The sequence below is a fragment of the Homo sapiens genome, chromosome 6 (genome assembly GCF_000001405.40).
Source record: "Homo sapiens chromosome 6, GRCh38.p14 Primary Assembly".
NCBI classification, from domain to species: domain Eukaryota; kingdom Metazoa; phylum Chordata; class Mammalia; order Primates; family Hominidae; genus Homo; species Homo sapiens.
In genome coordinates, this window is record NC_000006.12 from 130,715,889 (window position 1) to 130,734,968 (window position 19,080).

The 19,080-nt window shown below is 39.9% G+C and overlaps 1 long non-coding RNA gene across 1 annotated transcript; it reads right to left on the bottom strand.

Moving 5' to 3' along the window:
* Positions 1-3,341: 3,341 nt before the first annotated feature.
* On the bottom strand, positions 3,342-7,571 carry LOC105378002 (uncharacterized). The gene is made up of 4 exons (XR_942990.2): positions 7,249-7,571; positions 4,733-4,949; positions 3,839-3,905; positions 3,342-3,452 (listed from the first exon to the last, which is right to left on the bottom strand). It is a non-coding gene; the product is annotated as an uncharacterized LOC105378002 (long non-coding RNA).
* Positions 7,572-19,080: the final 11,509 nt, after the last annotated feature.

Sequence of the window (19,080 nt, forward strand, 5' to 3'; positions counted from 1 at the left end):
ATTTATTTCAAATGAAAAATATATGAGTTCCTTTGCTTTTGATTATGGATACAACAGATAATACCAAATACAATAAAGACTAAAAGGAAAAAAAATAAATACAAAAGGAATGATCTGTCTTTTAATTTACACTGTGTTTTCATTGGTCTTGTTTACTTCAATTGTCTAAACTAAGTTTATATTTAAACACCACATTAAAACTACTTTGTAATTACGTGAATTCTCTTAAATGTACCTGTGCTAATTCTTTCTTTTTTCTCAAATCAAGCAGCCAGTCTCACTGATTTTCTTGAAACAAACTTCTTCCTTGACGATCTCTTTCATTTTGTAGTGAAGTTACATCAACTCACTGTATATCTCAAATAAGTAAATTTCTTCATGCAAATACTATTGTCAATAAAGCTAAGAAAATAATTAAGAAAAATTTATCCAGAGACTGGGACTAAAGACCTGAATACCTAGCAATAAATAAACGGAAGTACTGTGTCTACAGACACTCATATTAACGATAATATTATTCAGGTTAATTCCTTCTGATAGCAAATGAAACGAGGGAATAGAAAATATTTCAAACAAGCAGCTTAGTGCTTCAGATTCAGAGCAGGTCTCCAATTTCTCTTAAAATCTGAGACCTTTGCATGCTGTGGGCAAATGGATTGAGCTATACAAAATTGCACAAAGCATCTAGCTTGGCATTTTTTGAACCTCATTACCCTCCCTGAGAAACAGACCTAGCAGGAAGCAAAAAAGCCTTTTATATCCCTGCGTCAGTAGAAATGATTCTGGTATATGGAAGACCTGACTACTAGCCACCGTGTTAAAGGCCTCTCAGCATGACGCTAAGAAAATTAATACATTCCCTATCAGTCACTTTAGCTCTTGCTGTTTAACAACAGCTGCACTAAATGAAGTAGGTTAATAGGGGAATGGGGAAGGGACAATTGGCTGAGAAGGAACATCATGGAAACAACCACAAATCTATGGGGCAAGGCACTTCTCTGCCAAAAGCTCACCTAGCAATATTCAAGGTTTCAAATCCATGCTGATTCTACAACATGTGCTCAAGTTTCTCGGCCTTTCTCCCCCTTTAAAAAGAGGGATAGGAATTTTGTGAGCTATAGAAACCATCTTTCTTTTCCTAATACCTATTTCAAGTCTGAATCCCAGCAACCACCAGCTGTATTTCTACTCTTTACCTAAGATAATTCCAGGTCCAGATGTTGGGGTAGCCTTCCCTAGCACTCCTAGGTAGAGTTATACCATACTTTTGTCTGGGTTTCCATAGTGTTATATGATCTACTACTACTTTTATCACTGTTCTACCAGAATTTACCAACATATCTTCACTTATAGGCTGTGAGCGCTTTAGGGCAGGAACCTATGTACTCTTTACCCAGTACAGTGCACAGGCACGGGACACTTTCTCAGGCATTCTCTCAGCCCTAGACCAACAGCCACTCTCCCCAACTCTAGGGGGTTGAACAGTGTCACCCAAAATTCATATACTCCCTGAGCCTCAGAATGTGGCCTTATTTGAAAATAGGGGTCTTTACAGATATAGTTAAGGTAAGGATTGAGATGAGATCATGCTGGTTTAGGGTGGGCCTTAAGTCTAATGACAGTGTCCGTATAAGAGACAGAAAAGGACAGACAGAGGAGACACACAGAGGAGAAAGACACACAGAGGAGAGGTCCATGTGAAGACAGAGGAGGAGATTGGAGCAATGGTGCCACAAGCCAAGGAACACCAAGAGCCACCAGAAGCTGGAAGAGGCAAGAAAGGATTCTCTCCTAGGGACTTTCAAGGGAACATGGCTCTGTTAGCACCTTGGACTTCTGGCCTCCAGAACTGTAAGAGGGTAAATTTATGCTGTCTGTTGTTTTAAGACACCAAATTTGTGGTAATTTGTTACAGCAGCTCTAGGAAACTAATAGACTTCCTGTTTCTGGAAACTGGCTTCCTACCAAGCCACATGGGTTTAGCCATGCTGGTACCACAAGACTCTGATCATTACCCCCAGCCCCACCCTCCTCGCAGTACTGGGCACTGATCTAAGTTGGGCCAACAGCATTCATTCCTTGGAAGTTTGGGGATAATGAGAGAAAAACCTTCTTTCTCCACTCTCCTATCTCATTCAAGCCTGCTGAAAGGTCATCTCATTGACACATTCCTTGAAATCCTATCAAAATTCTACTTTTTATGACTCAACATCTTTTACCACCTTATTTCTATCTGACTTTATATTATTTTGTACTTTTTTTCTTTTTGTTCCCCTGATCTCGCCATAAGCATGTAGTCTTCCAAACGAGATCTAATTAAAGAGTTTCTGCACAGCAAAAGAAACTGTCACCAGAGTGAACAGACAACCTACAGAATGGGAAAACATTTTTGCAATCTATCCATCTGACAAAGGTCTAATAACCAGAGTCCACAAGGAACTTAAAAAGAATACAAGAGAAAACAATCCCATTAAACCATTAAAAAGTGGGCAAACTACATGAACAGACATTTCTCAAAAGAAGACATTCATGTAGCCAAAAAACACATGACACACGAAAAAAAGCTCAGCATCACTGATCATTAGGGAAATGCAAATCAAAACCACAATGAGACACCATCTCATGCCAGTCAGAATGGCACTTATTAAAAAGTCAAGAAATAACAGATGCTGATGAAGTTGCAGAGAAAAAAGGAATGCTTTTACACTTAATTTATGAGAGTATAAATTAGTTTAACCATTGTAGAAGACAGTGTGGCAATTCCTCAATGATCTAGAATCAGAAATACAATTAGACTCAGAAATCCCATTACTGGGTATTGACCCAAAGGAATATAAATCATTCTATTATGAAAATACATGCACACATATGTTCATTGCAGCACTATTCACAACAGCAAAGACATGGTGTCAACCCAAATGTCCATCAATGATAGACTGGATGAAGAAAATGAGGTACATGGAATACTATGCAGCCATAAAAAGGAATGAAATCATGTCCTTTGTAGGGACATGGATGGACCTGAAAGTCGTTATCCTCAGCAAACTAACGTGGGAACAGAAAACCAAACACCACATGTTCTCGCTTATAAGTGGGAGCTGAACGATGAGAACACATGGACACATAGAGGAGAACAACACACACTGGAGCCTGTCGGGAGGAAGGCGGGAGGAGGGACAGCATCAGGAATAATAGCTAATGGATGCTGGGCTTAATACCTAGGTGATGGGACGATCTGTGCAGCAAATCACCATGGCACAGGTTTACTATGTAACAAACCTGCACACCCTGCACATGTACCCTGGAACTTAAAACAAAAGTTGAAGAAAAAAACAAAGAATGTAGTCTCCATGAAAGCAGGGACTTGGCCTGTTTGGTTGACTCCTGTGTTTCCTGTACCTCAAATTTGGACTCATGCACAGTAGATCTACAGGAAGACAGACAAAGCTGATCTGAAAAAAAGATATCAAGGCAAAAGATGAAGAGCTCAAGTTTCCATCAGCATTCCAGTTCCCTGTTTTGATCTTTCCTGAGGCCTGCCATATTTCTGCCCTTGGCTTCTGAGGGACATTCTGATGAAATGTGCTCTCCTAAACTTAAGCCAGTTTGAGTTGGTTTATGTTTCTTTTAACTAAACAATAAACTTAGTATACATGATATTTAGTAGGAGCTCCAACATCTTAGCGGAAAAGATAAGAGAATGAAAAACTGAATGAATAAGTGTATAAATTAACTAATGAATCCAATATGGCACAAAACTGGGTTAGTCTTACAAGTGACTAGCATGATTTGAAAATTGTAGAAATGTATTTGCTACCCTCTGAATTCATCTTCTTACCACTAACTTGTGTGTCTGGAATTCCATCACTACAGACATTAGGAACACTCCATTCAATATAATCTTCCTGCAAAAAGAAAAACAGGAACTACTTTAACAGACCTTAGAGAGCTAGACTCTTCTTAATGATTTATAAAGTAGTCACTTTTTGAAGGACTAAGGGAAGAATCACAGACATGGGAAATGGGAGGACAGAAATATTAATTTCAACCTCTTCTCTATTTATTTGAGAGCTGGTCTAGTACTTCTGGGGAATTATGGAATCATGCCATGGAAGACTGATGGCATGGATAGCCCAATGAATGGCCTCTCTGGATCCATGCCTTTTACCATGTGACTCTGTAACTCCTCTCATCAAGAGGTTTGGTCTGTTTTCCCAGTTCTTGAATCTGAGCCATCTTGTGTCTAACTTTGGCCAAAAGAATGGGGCAAAAGTAACACTGTGCCTAGGCCTCATGGGGTGCCTGTGGTTCCTCTATTTCTTGGAAACCTGCCACCTCCATGAAACCTCTGCTGAAGATTGAGAGAAGTGACTCAGTTCTCCCCACCACACCCCTACCTTGGCTGCAGCTGACCAGCTGACATGTGAGTGAAGCCATCCTAGTCCCCAGCTGATCTACAAACTATTCATAGTTGCATGATAGAATCTAGTCAAGCTAAGGCCAAGTTGATGTTATAAACATTTATTGTTCTAATCCACTGAGTTTTGGAATGGCTCATTGCACAGCAATAGCCAAGTGATAAAATAACATTCTACTCTGGAAATCCCAAATCTGAGAATATGTCATTTTCTAAAACCATCTGTAAGTCTTGGACTCTGATACAACCTTCTTTGAGAAAATTTATACTTGGAGGGAGGTTAGGTTTTCCAGGTTGGCCCCAACATCTACTTACTCTCCAATAGCACAGTATCTCCAAGTGTGCCAGTGCTCCCAAGGAATCTTCCTTCAGAGTTTCTCATGGAATGATGGGAACACATCTCCCTTTACTGCAGGCCCACATTTAGGACTCTCACATTCTCCACTCTCATCGCTTACACTGACACTGACCCTTGGACCTCGCACAGAGAAGTCGACTGGGGATTGAGGGGTCTAGAAAAAGATATGAGGAGCTGCAAATAGAGCGGAAGACAGTGAGAACCTGACACAGTGCCACAGGGGGCTGGAGCTGGAATCAAAATTCAGCCTGGGGATGGAGCATGATGAGGAATTTTAATAGAAATTTGAAGAAAAGGCTGAGTGCAGTGGCTCACACCTGTAATCCCAGCACATTGGGAGGCCGAGGCTGGTGGATCACAAGGTCAGGAGATCGAGACCATCCTGGCTAACACGGTGAAACCCCGTCTCTACTAAAAGTACAAAAAATTAACCAGGCATGGTGGCAGGCGCCTGTAGTCCCAGCTACTTGGGAGGCTGAGGCAGGATAATGGTGTGAACCTGGGAGGCGGAGCTTCCAGTGAGCCGAGATCACGCCACTGCGCTCCAGCCTGGGCAACAGAGCGAGACTCTGTCTCAAAAAAAAAAAAAAAAAGAAAAAGAAATTGGGAGAAAAAATGGGTGGAAGTTGGACTAATGGGGAGTGAAAAGCAGCAGTGAGATAGTGTTTGTCTCCCTTTTTTTCCTGTTTCTTTCACCACCGAATCTAAAACAAAGAAAAGGGCCGGGCATGGTAGCTGATGCCTGTAATCCCAGCACTTTGGGAGGCCAAAGTGGGTGGATCACCCGAGGTCAGGAGTTCGAGACCAGCCTGGCCAACACGGAGAAACCCCATCTCTACTAAAAATACAAAAATTAGCTGGGCATGGTGGCACGTGCCTATAATCCCAGCTACTGGGAAGGCTGAGGCAGGAGAATTGCTTGAACCTGGAAGGCAGAGGTTGCAGTGAGCTGAGATTGTGCCACTGCACTTCAGCCTGGGTGATAGAGTGAGACTCTGTCTCCAAAATAAATGAACAAATAAATAAATAAAAAGGATAGACACTGGAAAAACAACATCTCTCCCCTCTACCTACCCACCTTCCCCTCCCCAACTCCATGCTGCGACCATTTCCCTGCTCCTGCACCCACTGTGCTGTGTGGCAGGATGAGAAACTGAGACGGAGGTCCAATGGGGGGACGAGCTGCCTCTGCTCCCAGCCTCCTCCCTTGTCCTTCCCCACCCTGGTTTGCATAGGTGGGATTCCTCTACTAGAGAGTTTGATGGCCAGACTGTCAGTCACTGTCAGTCATGGGTGAGAGCTATTGGAGACTGAGGTTTCTGTGGACCAAGAGGTCTCCACTTTTCTCATCAGTGAGGACTGACACCTCCTGGAGACTCCAGTGTATGTGTGTCAGCTGGAGGAAACAGGGAGGTGCCCCATGGGGTGAGCGGAAGAGTCTTTTTTTTTTTTTTTGAGATAAAAACAGAATCTATAAACATTGTCTGTAGCCCACTCTAATAAATATCCCAGCAGGATCATTTTCATAATATCGTGTGGTTTTCTCCATGTGTTTCACTTTGGCCCCCTTTGCAGGGCAGAGGGGCAGGTATATATACATACGGGTATATATACAGGCCCCAAAGCAGATGTTACTTGCAAAGGCAACTATGGTTTTCCGAATGTTTCAGCCATTAAAAATATTATGCTTCCCAGGAGTCCTGGAAGCAAAGGGGAAATGAAGCATGAGGGCAAAAAGAAAAAAAAAAGGAAGGGAGAAGAGGACAGAGAGGGCAAGAGAAGGAGGAAGGAGTGAAAGTCAGCAGATACGGTGACCAGCGGGACCTTTGCCCACCCTGTCTCCCGCCACTCATGGAAGTGGCAAGAACTTAGAATGGATGCTACAGGGTGCAACCAGAAATGGTGAGGTTTAGGCAGCAGTGGTCCCAGCCTCAGAAACAATTCCCATGCCTCCTGTGTAGAAGCCCAGAGCCAGAACTGGGGGATGACTAAGGGCCTCAATAAAGAAAATGTCAGCAGAATTAGAATTCCTCCAGTTCGTCGGGACTCCATGAATTCTGATGTGACTCTGGGAGAAGAGGCAGGCCCAATACTGATAGGATGTGGGTATGAGGTCTCCGATGTGGATTTATTAAATGAAGATCAAGAAATGGCAATATCTTGCACACCCTGGTTTGTGGATAGTGATTCATACCACCTCACTTGCAGACATATCATGCCTTCTACCTTACTGAATGTATGAATGAGCATCAATCCTGTTTTCTTGGTTCCTTTTGAATCAGAATGAACTTTTTAGATCCCTACTCCATAAACCTTCAGACAAACATCCTGCTCCTGTAGTTCAGTTACATCTCAGAGGTTTGTTATAGCAGCTGATTCAGAGCATGCCCCTTTCCATCATGGCCAGAAAATGAGATAATGAGCATGTGGGAAACAACAAGGAAATAAATTATACATGGGTTTTTGAACTTACAGAATTGATGGAGATTGTCTTCATTGCATCTCAGGACTCTGTGTCATACTTAGAATCACAGTTTGCCTCTGCCAATAGAAAAAATTTGCCGGAAAATATATTAGATGTCCTTCTGAAAGACGTTAACCCCTTTTCCCCTTGCCTCCGCCTATTAAGATTAATTAAATCGGATTACGCATTTGAAGAATTTAGAACAATGCTAGCACATGATAGGAGCTCAGTAAATTATGTTGCCATTGTTGTTTTTATAAGACAGAAATACTCATGCATCAAACTGCTGGTGTCTTAAGGATGAAATCAGTACAGAAAAAACTCCAGCCCAATCCCACAGTTACCCTTGTCCTCAGCTCATAGGAGCAGGTCAGCAGCCCACTCCATAAGCAGTAGGTTGTCAGGAAGCATAAAGGCCTGGACATGGAGCAAAGGAGCAAAAAGAAAAGATACATTTTCTCAAATCCACAGACACTGAAAGCCTATATAAATTTCATTATGAGATTTGCCATTGCTACAGACTCACGTACTATTTTCAGCTTTATTTTGCCTTTTCTTTAAAAAAAAAAAAAAAAAGTCAGCTTGCCGCTGCTAAAATATGAATTGGGACACCTGCCAGCCTTCACCTGAGCTGGCGCACTCTAGTGGGCCTGTCACCATCCTGGCTTGCAGTCCATTCCGGGAGCTCACGACATTGCTGTGGGAGCTCAATGAGATGGTGACCCTTCTCCATTGACCTAATTTCAATGAGGGCATTAAAAATGGAAAATCACAATTTACATGTCATCGAATCTCTTCAGGGAAGAGTGAGAATGTGGCAGCTCTGATGATACAGAGGGAAATTGCTTTTAATTTTGAGGTCTTTATCAAGAGAAACTGAAGTTGTATCTATGTCTTGAAAAACAAATCAAAGGTGAGAGGGGAAGTGGCAAATTCGCACCTTGACTTTGGTCACTGGAAATCTTAGATTACAACAAATGTTGTATACACCAGCCCCCAGACATGACACAAATCTGGCATTTTTAAAGTCTCTATGTCTAAGTCTCTATGTGAGCCAGTGTAGCCTTTACCTGTAAGGGGTGGGATTTAAGCAGCAACATGTTGGAGTTGGCTCACAGAGTCAGTGGTGTGACTCTCTTCCCAACTCTGCATTCCATTGACAAGACTGGTAGCTTGAAGTCAGACTTGGTGGAAATATTGACACCACAGGAAATGGCAAATGCCACAAACCAAGGAGCTTTTTTTTTTTAAGATAGCTAGTTGTTAAATACTTATCAGTATGCCACTAGTTGTAATGAAGGTGAGTATGAGCAACATGAAGGTACCAGGTGCTCAAGCAGAAAAAGGAAATGATAGGGTTGGAGATGGGAAAATGGTAGAAAAGAGGTCCATAAAAAAAAGAGGCCCAAGACAAAGAATACCACCCCTGCTTTGCCATTTCTCTTGAACTGTCTCCCCAGATGCCCCTCTCCAGATTCTAGGGCCCTCCTGTTTCACACTCACCTACCACATTCATTCCTATGTCCACCTGAAACTTGAAATTTATCAGCTATCTCCAAAGACATTTACAAAAGCTGTAGATTTTATTTTCTCACAACTGCTGGGTGTTTTCTCTTCCCAAGTTTTACCCAGATAAAACTTGTATTAATATATTCCACATTAAATCATCTTTCCAAAATATAATACCATGTATCTTCAAACTGATTTGAATTTTTTATTTTAAAAAAACCTGTATGAGAATATAGCAATAGTTCATTTTTATTTTTTTCCTATAAAATATAAGAAAACTATTCATCTATGTGTCAAGCTGCTGGTTTTAGAAACCCAATGCCTGCCTATATTTTATTTTAGTTGCTGAATTAATTGAGTTCTTGAGATGGTGAAAAGTAATAACCTGCTCATAAAAAACCATTATTTCATGCTATTCACTACTTTAACTATGACGGACAACCTGAGCTATACTTGAGATGACAGGTATGACTTCTAAATTATTTATTTTTCTTTCTTTGCTTACTAGCAGGTAAATGTTTTTGTGACACTGGAAAAAATAGAAAGTAAACAATGCAGGAAGTTATAAGCCTGAGACATTAATATAGAGTGCACTCTCTTTAAGACCTTATCTATAGAACTAAACAGTCAAACAAAATACATGGTATACATTTATTCTGAAAATGTTTGGGTTAGATTTCAATTACCCTATTATTGAAGGGCAAAGACTAAATGAACCATTGGACTAATTAAATGTTTATTTGGTGACCAAGACTAAACAGTTAATGTTTAATGAAATTATCTGCTTTAAATAACACTTCTTTATAGGATAATAATGAAAGTGGAAAGTCTTTTCAGATGTGTAATGATAATTAGTTCATCTATATTTCATCTCTATAGACTTTAAAATATAATGTGGTAGATTACATTAATGGCTTCAATTCTTCATTTCCCCTTATAGTTACACCCTTTGCCATGAGAATGCAATTATCCCCAGAAAACTGTGTATTTTCCAACTCCTTGACCCTAAGTTCAGTCATGTAACTTGTTAATAAGTAAAGCATGTGAAAGCTCTTACATGCTTTTACTTGTTTTTCACTTGAGCTTCTGTTGTCACCAAGAAAGAGCATGCCTGGGTTGGCCTATATTCCCAGTAGGAGGAAGGTAAGCATGAGGTAGAGCTACCTCAGATTAGATTCTCTAGCCAAGCCCAGGCATACCCACAGGCATGTAAGCTACAACAGTATATGATTATTATAAGCCATTGAGTTTTAAGGTGATTGGTTACATAAGACAGCTAACTTATATATATGTACTATTACTTCCCATTTTTTTTCTTGAAAAGTAAAGTTTTATATACACAATAGAATTCCTCATTAATACACAAATAATTTTCAAAATCAGCTAGCATTATAACTTTATAACTATAAACTATAGAATAATTTCCTTAAGAATCAACATTATCATGTTACATCATCTATCAAGCTCTGGATTAGTTCAATACAAGAAACATTGACTGACCCATGAACATAATAACAGCAGACCCTGGGAACACAGACTTAATGAAGAGCTCTGCACCAGGGCTCACAGTCTATCAAGGGCCTGGTAATGCCAAGACAAAGAGCCAGGGTCTCTACCAAGTACTTTCCTATATCCAGTTGTGTTTAATTCTGATTTCTTATGTTGAAAGCATTAGTTTGTATAGATTCACATTTAAAAAGACTTGGAGTTTACAAAGGTCTTCAAAGATTCTGATACTATGCAATATCTGAAGATTTTAGACAGATAAGGAGATAAAATTGAAAGGCAGTTATCACTTAAATCCTAGAAGAAAACACAGGAAAAAAAATCAGTGTATTTTTATAGCGATGGTGCTAAGACTGAACTCTTTCCACTAACAATAAATTTTGACTAAATTTTTTTCTTTCCTCCATAGCTGCTGGGAGTTTTCTCTTCCCAATTTCCCCAGAAAAGCCATGAGTTCAGTGTGTGATAAGAGAGCAACAGACATTACTCTGGGAGCTGTGAAGGGATTTGGGTAAACAAATATGAAAGAAGATTAATTTTTAAAAACCCTTTTCAGATAACTTTCTGTGTAAATATGATCTTATATTCAAAATCCACAGTAATTTCATCAACAATGAAATAACAGTCTTAATCATTTCTTAATGCTAATTTCCCTTGTAGATAAGCCTTACAAATTTCTTTCCTACAAAAATGTTCTTAAACAGCTAACCCTGCTAAATCCAAGAGATTTTCTGTCTTCGTCTGTTTTTCATTGTTATAGCAGAATACCTGATACTGGGTAATTTAGAAAGAAAAGAGGTTTATTTGACTCACAATTGTGGAGGCTGGGAAGTCCAAGAAGCATGGCACCAGCATCTGCTCAGGTGAGGGCCTCATACTGCATCACAACATAGCAGAGAAGCAGAAGGGGAAGCAGATGTGTGTGAAAGGGACCAAACATGAAAAAAAGGCTCTGGCTTGAAAATAATTTGCTCTCATGGGAATTAATCCATTTCAGCAAGAACTAACCCAGTCTCATGAGATTAATCCACTTTAACAACCTAATCTCCTCTTAAAGCCACCCCCCACAAAACCACCATATTAGGAAAGAACTCTTAACATGAGTGAGTTTTGGTGGGGACAAACTATATTCAAGCCATAGCAGTTGTTTATACGATATTTTTTAATATTATTTTCTCCAAGACAAAAACTATGATTATCTTAATAAGAAAATTTAAGTAAAATAATAACAGCGGTTCAACGTATTTCACATGTTTAAATGTATAAAATTATTACAACCACCTTGTGATATAGGTGCTAGTACCATCTCCTTTTATAAAAAAGGAGACTGGGACATGGAATGGTCTAAGTAAGTTGCTCAGGGTCACAGAGCTAATAAATAGTAGAGCCAGAATTTAAAGCAGAAAATCTGGCTCCAGAGTCTTTGCTTAGACTGCTAGGCTGGACTGCCTGGCCCAGCCCTCAAAGAAACAAAAAACTGCCTGGCCCTTCCCTGCTGCATATCCTTTTAATGTATTCAGATTGACTCACTAACACTTAACAAAAATATTGGGGCTGGCACTCACTCCATCCTGCTACCCTGTAAAGAAGGTGCCTTCTTCTTCTTTGCCTTCCGCTATGATTCTAGGACCTCCAATGCAATGGCGATTAGAAATGGTGATAGCCAGGGGAGATCTGGCAAGATGGCCGAATAGGAACAGCTCCAGTCTGCAGGAGCATCCCTTGGAGGCAAGCCTGGTTCAACATGGACAAATCAATAAACGTAATCCATCACATAAATGGAACCAATGACAAAAACCACATGATTATCACAATAGATGCAGAAAAGGCCTTCAATAAAATTCAACACCCCTTCATGCTAAAAACTCTCAATAAACTAGGTATTGATGGAAAGTATCTCAAAATAGTAAGAGCTATTTATGACAAACCCACAGCCAATATCATTTTGAATGGGCAAAAGCTAGAAGCATTCTCTTGAAAACCAGCACAAGACAGGGATGCCCTCTGTCACCACTCCTATTCGTCATAGTATTGGAAGTTCTGGACAGGGCAATCAGGCAAGGGAAAGAAATTAAAGATATTCAATTGGAACAGAGGAAGTCAAATTATCTCTGTTTGCAGATGACGTAATTGTATATTTAGAAAACCCCATTATCTCAGGCCAAAATCTCCTTAAGCTGATGAGCAACTTCAGCAAAATCTCAGGATACAAAATCAATGTGCAAAAATCACAAGCATTCCTATCACCAGTAATAGACAAACAGAGAGCCAAATCATGAGTGAACCCCCATTCACAATTGCTACAAAGAGAATAAAATACCTAGGAATAAAACTTACAAGGGATGTGAAGGACCTCCTTCAAGAAGAACTACAAACTACTGATCAAGGAAATAAGAGAGGACACAAACAAATGGAAAAACATTTCATGCTCATTGGTAGGAAGAATCAATATCATGAAAATGGCCATACTGCACTGCGCAAAGTAATTTATAGATTCAATGCTATTCCCACAAGCCAACATTGACTTTCTTCACAGAATTAGAAAAAAACTACTTTAAATTTCATATGGAACTGAAAAAGAGCCCATATAGCTAAGACAATCCTAAGCAAAAAAAAAAACCAAGCAGGAGGCATCATGCTACCTGACTTCAAACTATACAACAAGGCTACAGTAAGGAAAACAGCATGGTACTGGTACCAAAACAGATATATAGACCAATGGAACAGAACAGAGTCCTCAGAAATAACGCCACACATCTACAACCATGTGATCTTCCACAAACCTGACAAAAACAAGCAATGGGGAAAGGATTCTCTATTTAATAAGAAATGTTGGGAAAACTCGCTAGCCATATGCAGAAAACTGAAACTGGATGCCTTCCTTACACCTTATACAAAAACCAACTCAAGATGAATTAAAGACTTAAATGTAAGACCTAAAACCATAAAAAACTCTAGAAGAAAACCTAGGCAATACAATTCAGGACATAGGCATGGGCAAAGACTTCATTTCTAAAACACCAAAAGCAATGGCAACAAAAGCCAAAATTGACAAATGGGATCTAATTAAACTAAAGAGCTTCTGCACAGCAAAAGAAACTACCATCAGAGTGAACAGGCAACCTACAGAATGGCAGAAAATATTTGCAATCTATTCATCTGACAAAGGGCTAATATCCAGAATCTACAAGGAACTTAAACAAATTTACAAGAAAAAAACAAACAACCCCATCAAAAAGTTGGCAAGGATATGAACAGACACTCTCAAAAGAAGACATTTATGCAGTCACCAAACATATGAAAAAAGCTCATCATCACTGGTCATTAGAGAAATGCAAATCAAAACCACAACGAGATACCATCTCACGCCAGTTAGAATGCTGATCATTAAAAAGTCAGGAAACAACAGATGCTGGAGAGGATGTGGAGCAGTAGGAATGCTTTTACATTGTTGGTGAAAATGTAAATTAGTTCAACCATTGTGGAAGACAGTGTGGCGATTCCTCAAGGATCTAGAACCGGAAACACCATTTGACCCAGCAATCCCATTACTGGGTATATACCCAAAGGATTATAAATCATTCTACCATAAAGACACATGCACATGTATGTTTATTGCAGCACTATTCACAATAGCAAAGACTTGGAACCAATCCAAATGCCCATCAATGATAGACTGGATAAAGAAAATGTGGCACATATACACCATGGAATACTATGCAGCCATAAAAAGGATGAGTTCATGTCCTTTGCGGGGACATGGATGAAGCTGGAAACCATCATACTCAGCAAACTAACAAAAGAACAGAAAACCAAACACTGCATGTTCTCACTCATAAGTGGGAGTTGAACAATGAGAACACATGGACACAGGGAGGGGAACATCACACACTAGGGCCTGTCGGGGGTGAGGGACTAGGGGAGGGATAGCATTAGGAGAAATACCTAATGTAGATGACGGGTTGATGGGTGCAGCAAATCACCATGGCACGTGTATACCTATGTAACAAATCTACACGTTGTGCACATGTATCCCAGAACCAAAAGTATGATAGTTAAATAAATAAACAAATAAATTTAAAAATAAATAAATAAGAAGTGGCGATAGCCAAAACCTTGCCATGTTTCTGATTTGAAAGGCCAATGTTTGTTGTAGGTTAAGAAAGTCATTTTTAGTTTACTAGGAGTTTTTATTAAATGTTTAAAAAATTATTTAATGCTATTTTGCATGCATTGAGATGAGTGTATGTCTTCTACACATTTCTGTATTTGGTTTGCAAGCATTTTGTTTTGGCTTTTTAAATTTATATTTATGATAGGACTGTAATATTGCATTCTTGTTATGTCTTTGGTTTTGATATCAGTGTTGTACTAGCTTCATAAAATAAAGAAATATTTTCTCTTTAAAAAAACTATTGGGGCTGAGTGGGTGGGGGGAGCATTTTATGCACAAGGCACTGTGCATAAGGCACTGGAAATACCACATAAACAAGGCCAACAGAATACTTGCCTTGATGGGCTTATAGTCTAGTAAAGAAAGTAACTAAATAAACAAACAAGTAGTTAAAATGTAAAGAAGGTAATCTAGTCTAGAGGTTACAAAAGACCTCCCAGAGGAAGTGGCACTTAAATTGAGATCTGAAAGATGAGTAAGAGTTAGCAAAAGTGGTAAATGTCATTAGCAAAGGCCATCAGCAAGAGAAAACCCAAGAGCAGTCTGGTGTCTGATTTGTGCTGCAAGAGGAAGAAAATGACAAGAGATGAATCAAAGAGGCTGGGATTTATCCTGAAAATAACAGAAACTGTTAAAGAGTTTAAGGAGGAGAGTCACATGATTAGATGTACATCCTAAAAACAAGTGTGTCAAAGAGCACCCCTGGATACCTTCCATTTCTGGCACAAACTGCCCATCCCTAAGCATCTATTACGCTTCTGATGTTAAGCAGCCTCCATTCTCTCCCACTCTGATCTTACCTCTCCCTTCAGTATTCCCTAAGAAAGCTAATGCTATGCCTTGTGAAAACTGTCAGAATAAAACTGAGGTCACTTGTGTGTTTAAAAAGCAAACACACTGACAAATAGAGATGGAGAAGGCCATGAAGAGAGGGTTCTCGTGCTTATATGCCTGATAATAAGAACTATCATAAAAGACTACACAAAACACAACCTTGCATAAAGGCCATCGCAACCTTACAGCAAAAATACTTCTGCAAGGACATTGGCCCAGCAACTGCCTGTCCGAGCTCAGACTGGTGTCACCCTTATTATGAATCTTTGTGGCCAAGAAAAACTATTTTGAAATACTTGGGGCAGGGTGGCCTATGCCCCTTTTCTTACAAGCTCAGAAGAGGAAGATCCCCATCATCTCCCTTGTCATACCCAAATAAACTTGTATGGAGTCTTCCAGCAAAGGCCCACAAATGCCACATTCTGTCATAGTTTTGTCTGCTCTGGTTCCTCCCATCTTAAAACAAAAACAAAAAACAAAATACAAAACAAAACAAAACAAAAACTCTCTTGATCCCTCAGCCCCTCCAGGTTCCATCCCATTTCCCTCCTTTCTCTCACTCTTCATCCACCCCAGTCTGACAAATTTTGCACTTCATTCTCTTGGCTTCTGTGACTTTTTAAACTGCAGGTTTTACTCATACCTCATCAGCTTCTCCTTCAGGGCATCCTTTGCTGGCTCCTCTTTTTTCCAAGGCTCAAACTCCAATTGTTTTTGGTTTTGGTTTTGGTTGTGCTTTGTTTCTGAGACAGGTTCTCTCTCTGTCACCCAGGCTGGAGTGCAGTAGCACAATCATGGCTCACTGCAGCCTGGACCTCCTGGACTCAAGCGATCCTCCCACCTCAGCTTCCTAAGTAGCTGGGACCACAGATGCGCACCACCACACCTGGCTAATTTTTATTTTTTTGTAAAGATGGGGTTTCTCCATGTTGCCCAGACTAGTCTGAAACTCCTAGACTCAAGCGATCCGCCTGTCTTGGCCTCCCGAAATGCTGGGATTACAAGCGTGAGCCACCGCATCCGGCCTCAAACTCCAGTTGCTGGTGTGCACAGGAATGCTATGCTCCCTTGGCTTTTCCACCTGCACTCCATTCCAAGCTGATCTCTTGACAGACGGATGCCTTTAAATATAGTCGAGATGCAAGTGACCCCCAAATGGATATCTCCAACCTGACATCTCCTGCATTTTCATTTTGCATCCAACCCCGAAAGTTAGGTGGCCAGTGCTGTACTCAGTACATGAGTGCTAAACTCATCAATGAGACAAGTGTTAAAAGATAAACTGAGGCACATTAAAAATTTTAAGAGTTTATTTGAGCAACAGTAGTTAATTATTGGTTTGGGCTCTGCTGGAGGAATTTGAAAGAAAGGCTTTTATAGTGTGAATGCAGACACAGAGCATAGAAATTATTTGATTAAAGTTTGTACTTTCGCTTTATTTGGACCATTTTGGTGGGAATCCCTGATGATATAGTTAATGCTCCGTTGGTCACTTGCGATTTCCTGTGCTTAAATTTCATTTTGTTTACAGAGAAACTCAGGGCATTAAAGCCACCTCAGTCTAATGACCCTCCATTTAACTATTTTAACAGAAGAAATAAAGGATCTATAGTGTTGGATTTTATGTCTTTAACTTTCACAGAGAAGCGTTTGTAAATTTCACAGATTCTCTCCCATGCAGATTAACAGGGAAATACTTTCCAAAGAAAATCACAATTGTTTCCCAGGAAAAAATCCACTGTATTAAAACAGTAACTCAGAAAGCAGTCGCATAATTCTGTATGCTATTTTAACCTTTAGGACTTTATCACAAACCTTTTATGCTTATCAAACTACAGAAGGCAGATAAAATGACATGTGATAGCTGGGATGACCTTTCTCTAACATTTGTTTTTTTGGTTCTAAGGAATGCTTTTAGCAGAGATGTCTATTCCAGTTTTTCCTTAAAATGAACATGAATTCCTTTCATTTTAAGTTATAATAAAAACTTCATATTTTATGCCCCCAATTTCTCGGAAGCCTTCTGAAGCCATAGTTTTTGAGCCTATGGACCGTGGCATGCTTTTAAAGCCAATAAATGACCACCCCTTGCCCTCACCAAATTTCCTTACTAATTTCACTCTCTTTTTTACCTTGTTAAATACTGTAATTCTGGTTTTTAAGTTTTTAATAACAGAATTTGCTTTGTGATTGTGATTTTTCTTCTAGCCTTACACTTACTATGATGGTTCAATAATATCCTTTCTCTATTGCCTCTTTTAATAGTTATGCTGTTATTGTCTCCTGCCCTGCTGTGGCCCTGGACTACAGGTCAGGGGAAAGAGACTGGAATTCGAAAGGCAGAGACCTACTTTCTAATCTTGGCTATGCTGCCAGTTAGCCACCTAACCTTAGTATATAAAATTACTAGTATTTTTTAAATGAAGAAACTGAGATCCATGGGATTATATGACTTGTCTGATTACAAAAAGCTAAAGAAACAACACAAATTGTAGACACTGTTATTTTCATCCTCATTCCATAGATCAGTCAATTGTGGCTTCCATTTCCTTACTCCTTCAGTAATAAAACTTGGTCAACTCCTAAATGTAGGCAAGATCTTATGCTCTGAGTTTAACAAATGAGGGAGTTCCAATCTTCTCTCCTCTCAGACCTAGCAACAAAACTCTCCCTCCTTGAGCTCTCCTCCATGGCCAACTAAGGGGATTAGCCCCTGATTTAGGGGTACCTGTATGCTTGCTAGCAAAGAATCCTGTTTGTTCTCTAAGTCACCCAAGCTAATAAAAGCCCCCAGATAGTACATTTTGTGTGAATACTACCTAAGACTGAAGTTGCTGATAAGTTGGGAATATGATCAAGCAAGTGTGTCAAAGAGTACCCCCGGATACCTTCCATTTCTGGCACAAACTGCCCCTCCCTAAGCATCTATTAGGCTTCTGCTGTAAAGCAGCCTCCATTCTCTCCCGCTCTGATGTTACCTCTCCCTTCAGTATTCTCTAGGAAAGCTAACGCTATGCCTTGTGAAAACTGTCAGAATAAAACTGAGGTCACTTGTGTGTTTAAAAAACAAACAAACTGACAGATAGAGATGGAGAAGGCCATGAAGAGAGGGTTCTCGTGCTTGTATGCCTGATAATAAGAACTATCATAAAAGACTACACAAAACACAACCTTGCATAAAGGCCATCGCAACCTTCCAGCAAAAATACTTCTGCAAGGACATTGGCCCAGCAACTGCCTGTCCAAGCTCAGACTGGAGTCACCCTTATTATGAATCGTTGTGGCCAAGAGAAACTATTTTAAAACAATTATGTAATCCTCATTTTTCCTTTAAAAACCTTTGTCTTTCTTTACCTCTCTGAATATGCACACAGATTACTATGGTACACATATTCCCACAGCAATGCTCTGTTACCAAATAAAAATCTTTTCTTTCAGAGAGCCTCTCTCTGTTATTTCAGCTGACGAGGAATGGACAGAGATTAGGAGTACAGCATTTGGTCTGTGGGGCAAGGCTGCGTTGGGCTAATTCTTCCCAGCCCCTTTTCTTCCCTTGTCCCTAGTCCATTTTCCCTTCCAGAGTAAAGCCCTCCCATCTCCTAGAGGCCAGTGAGGTTTTCACTGCCTTTGCCTGCCGTCTGACCCTCCTATTCATTATCTCAAATTGCCACTCTTTCTATACTGCCAACCACTGAAAACTTCAAATTGCATTCCCTGAATCTCAGCTAGACGGTGGAAGGAAAACAATTTAATTCCATTAATTCACATCATTTATTCATTCATTCCATTTGCATTTCTTGAGAGATCCTGTGATTAAG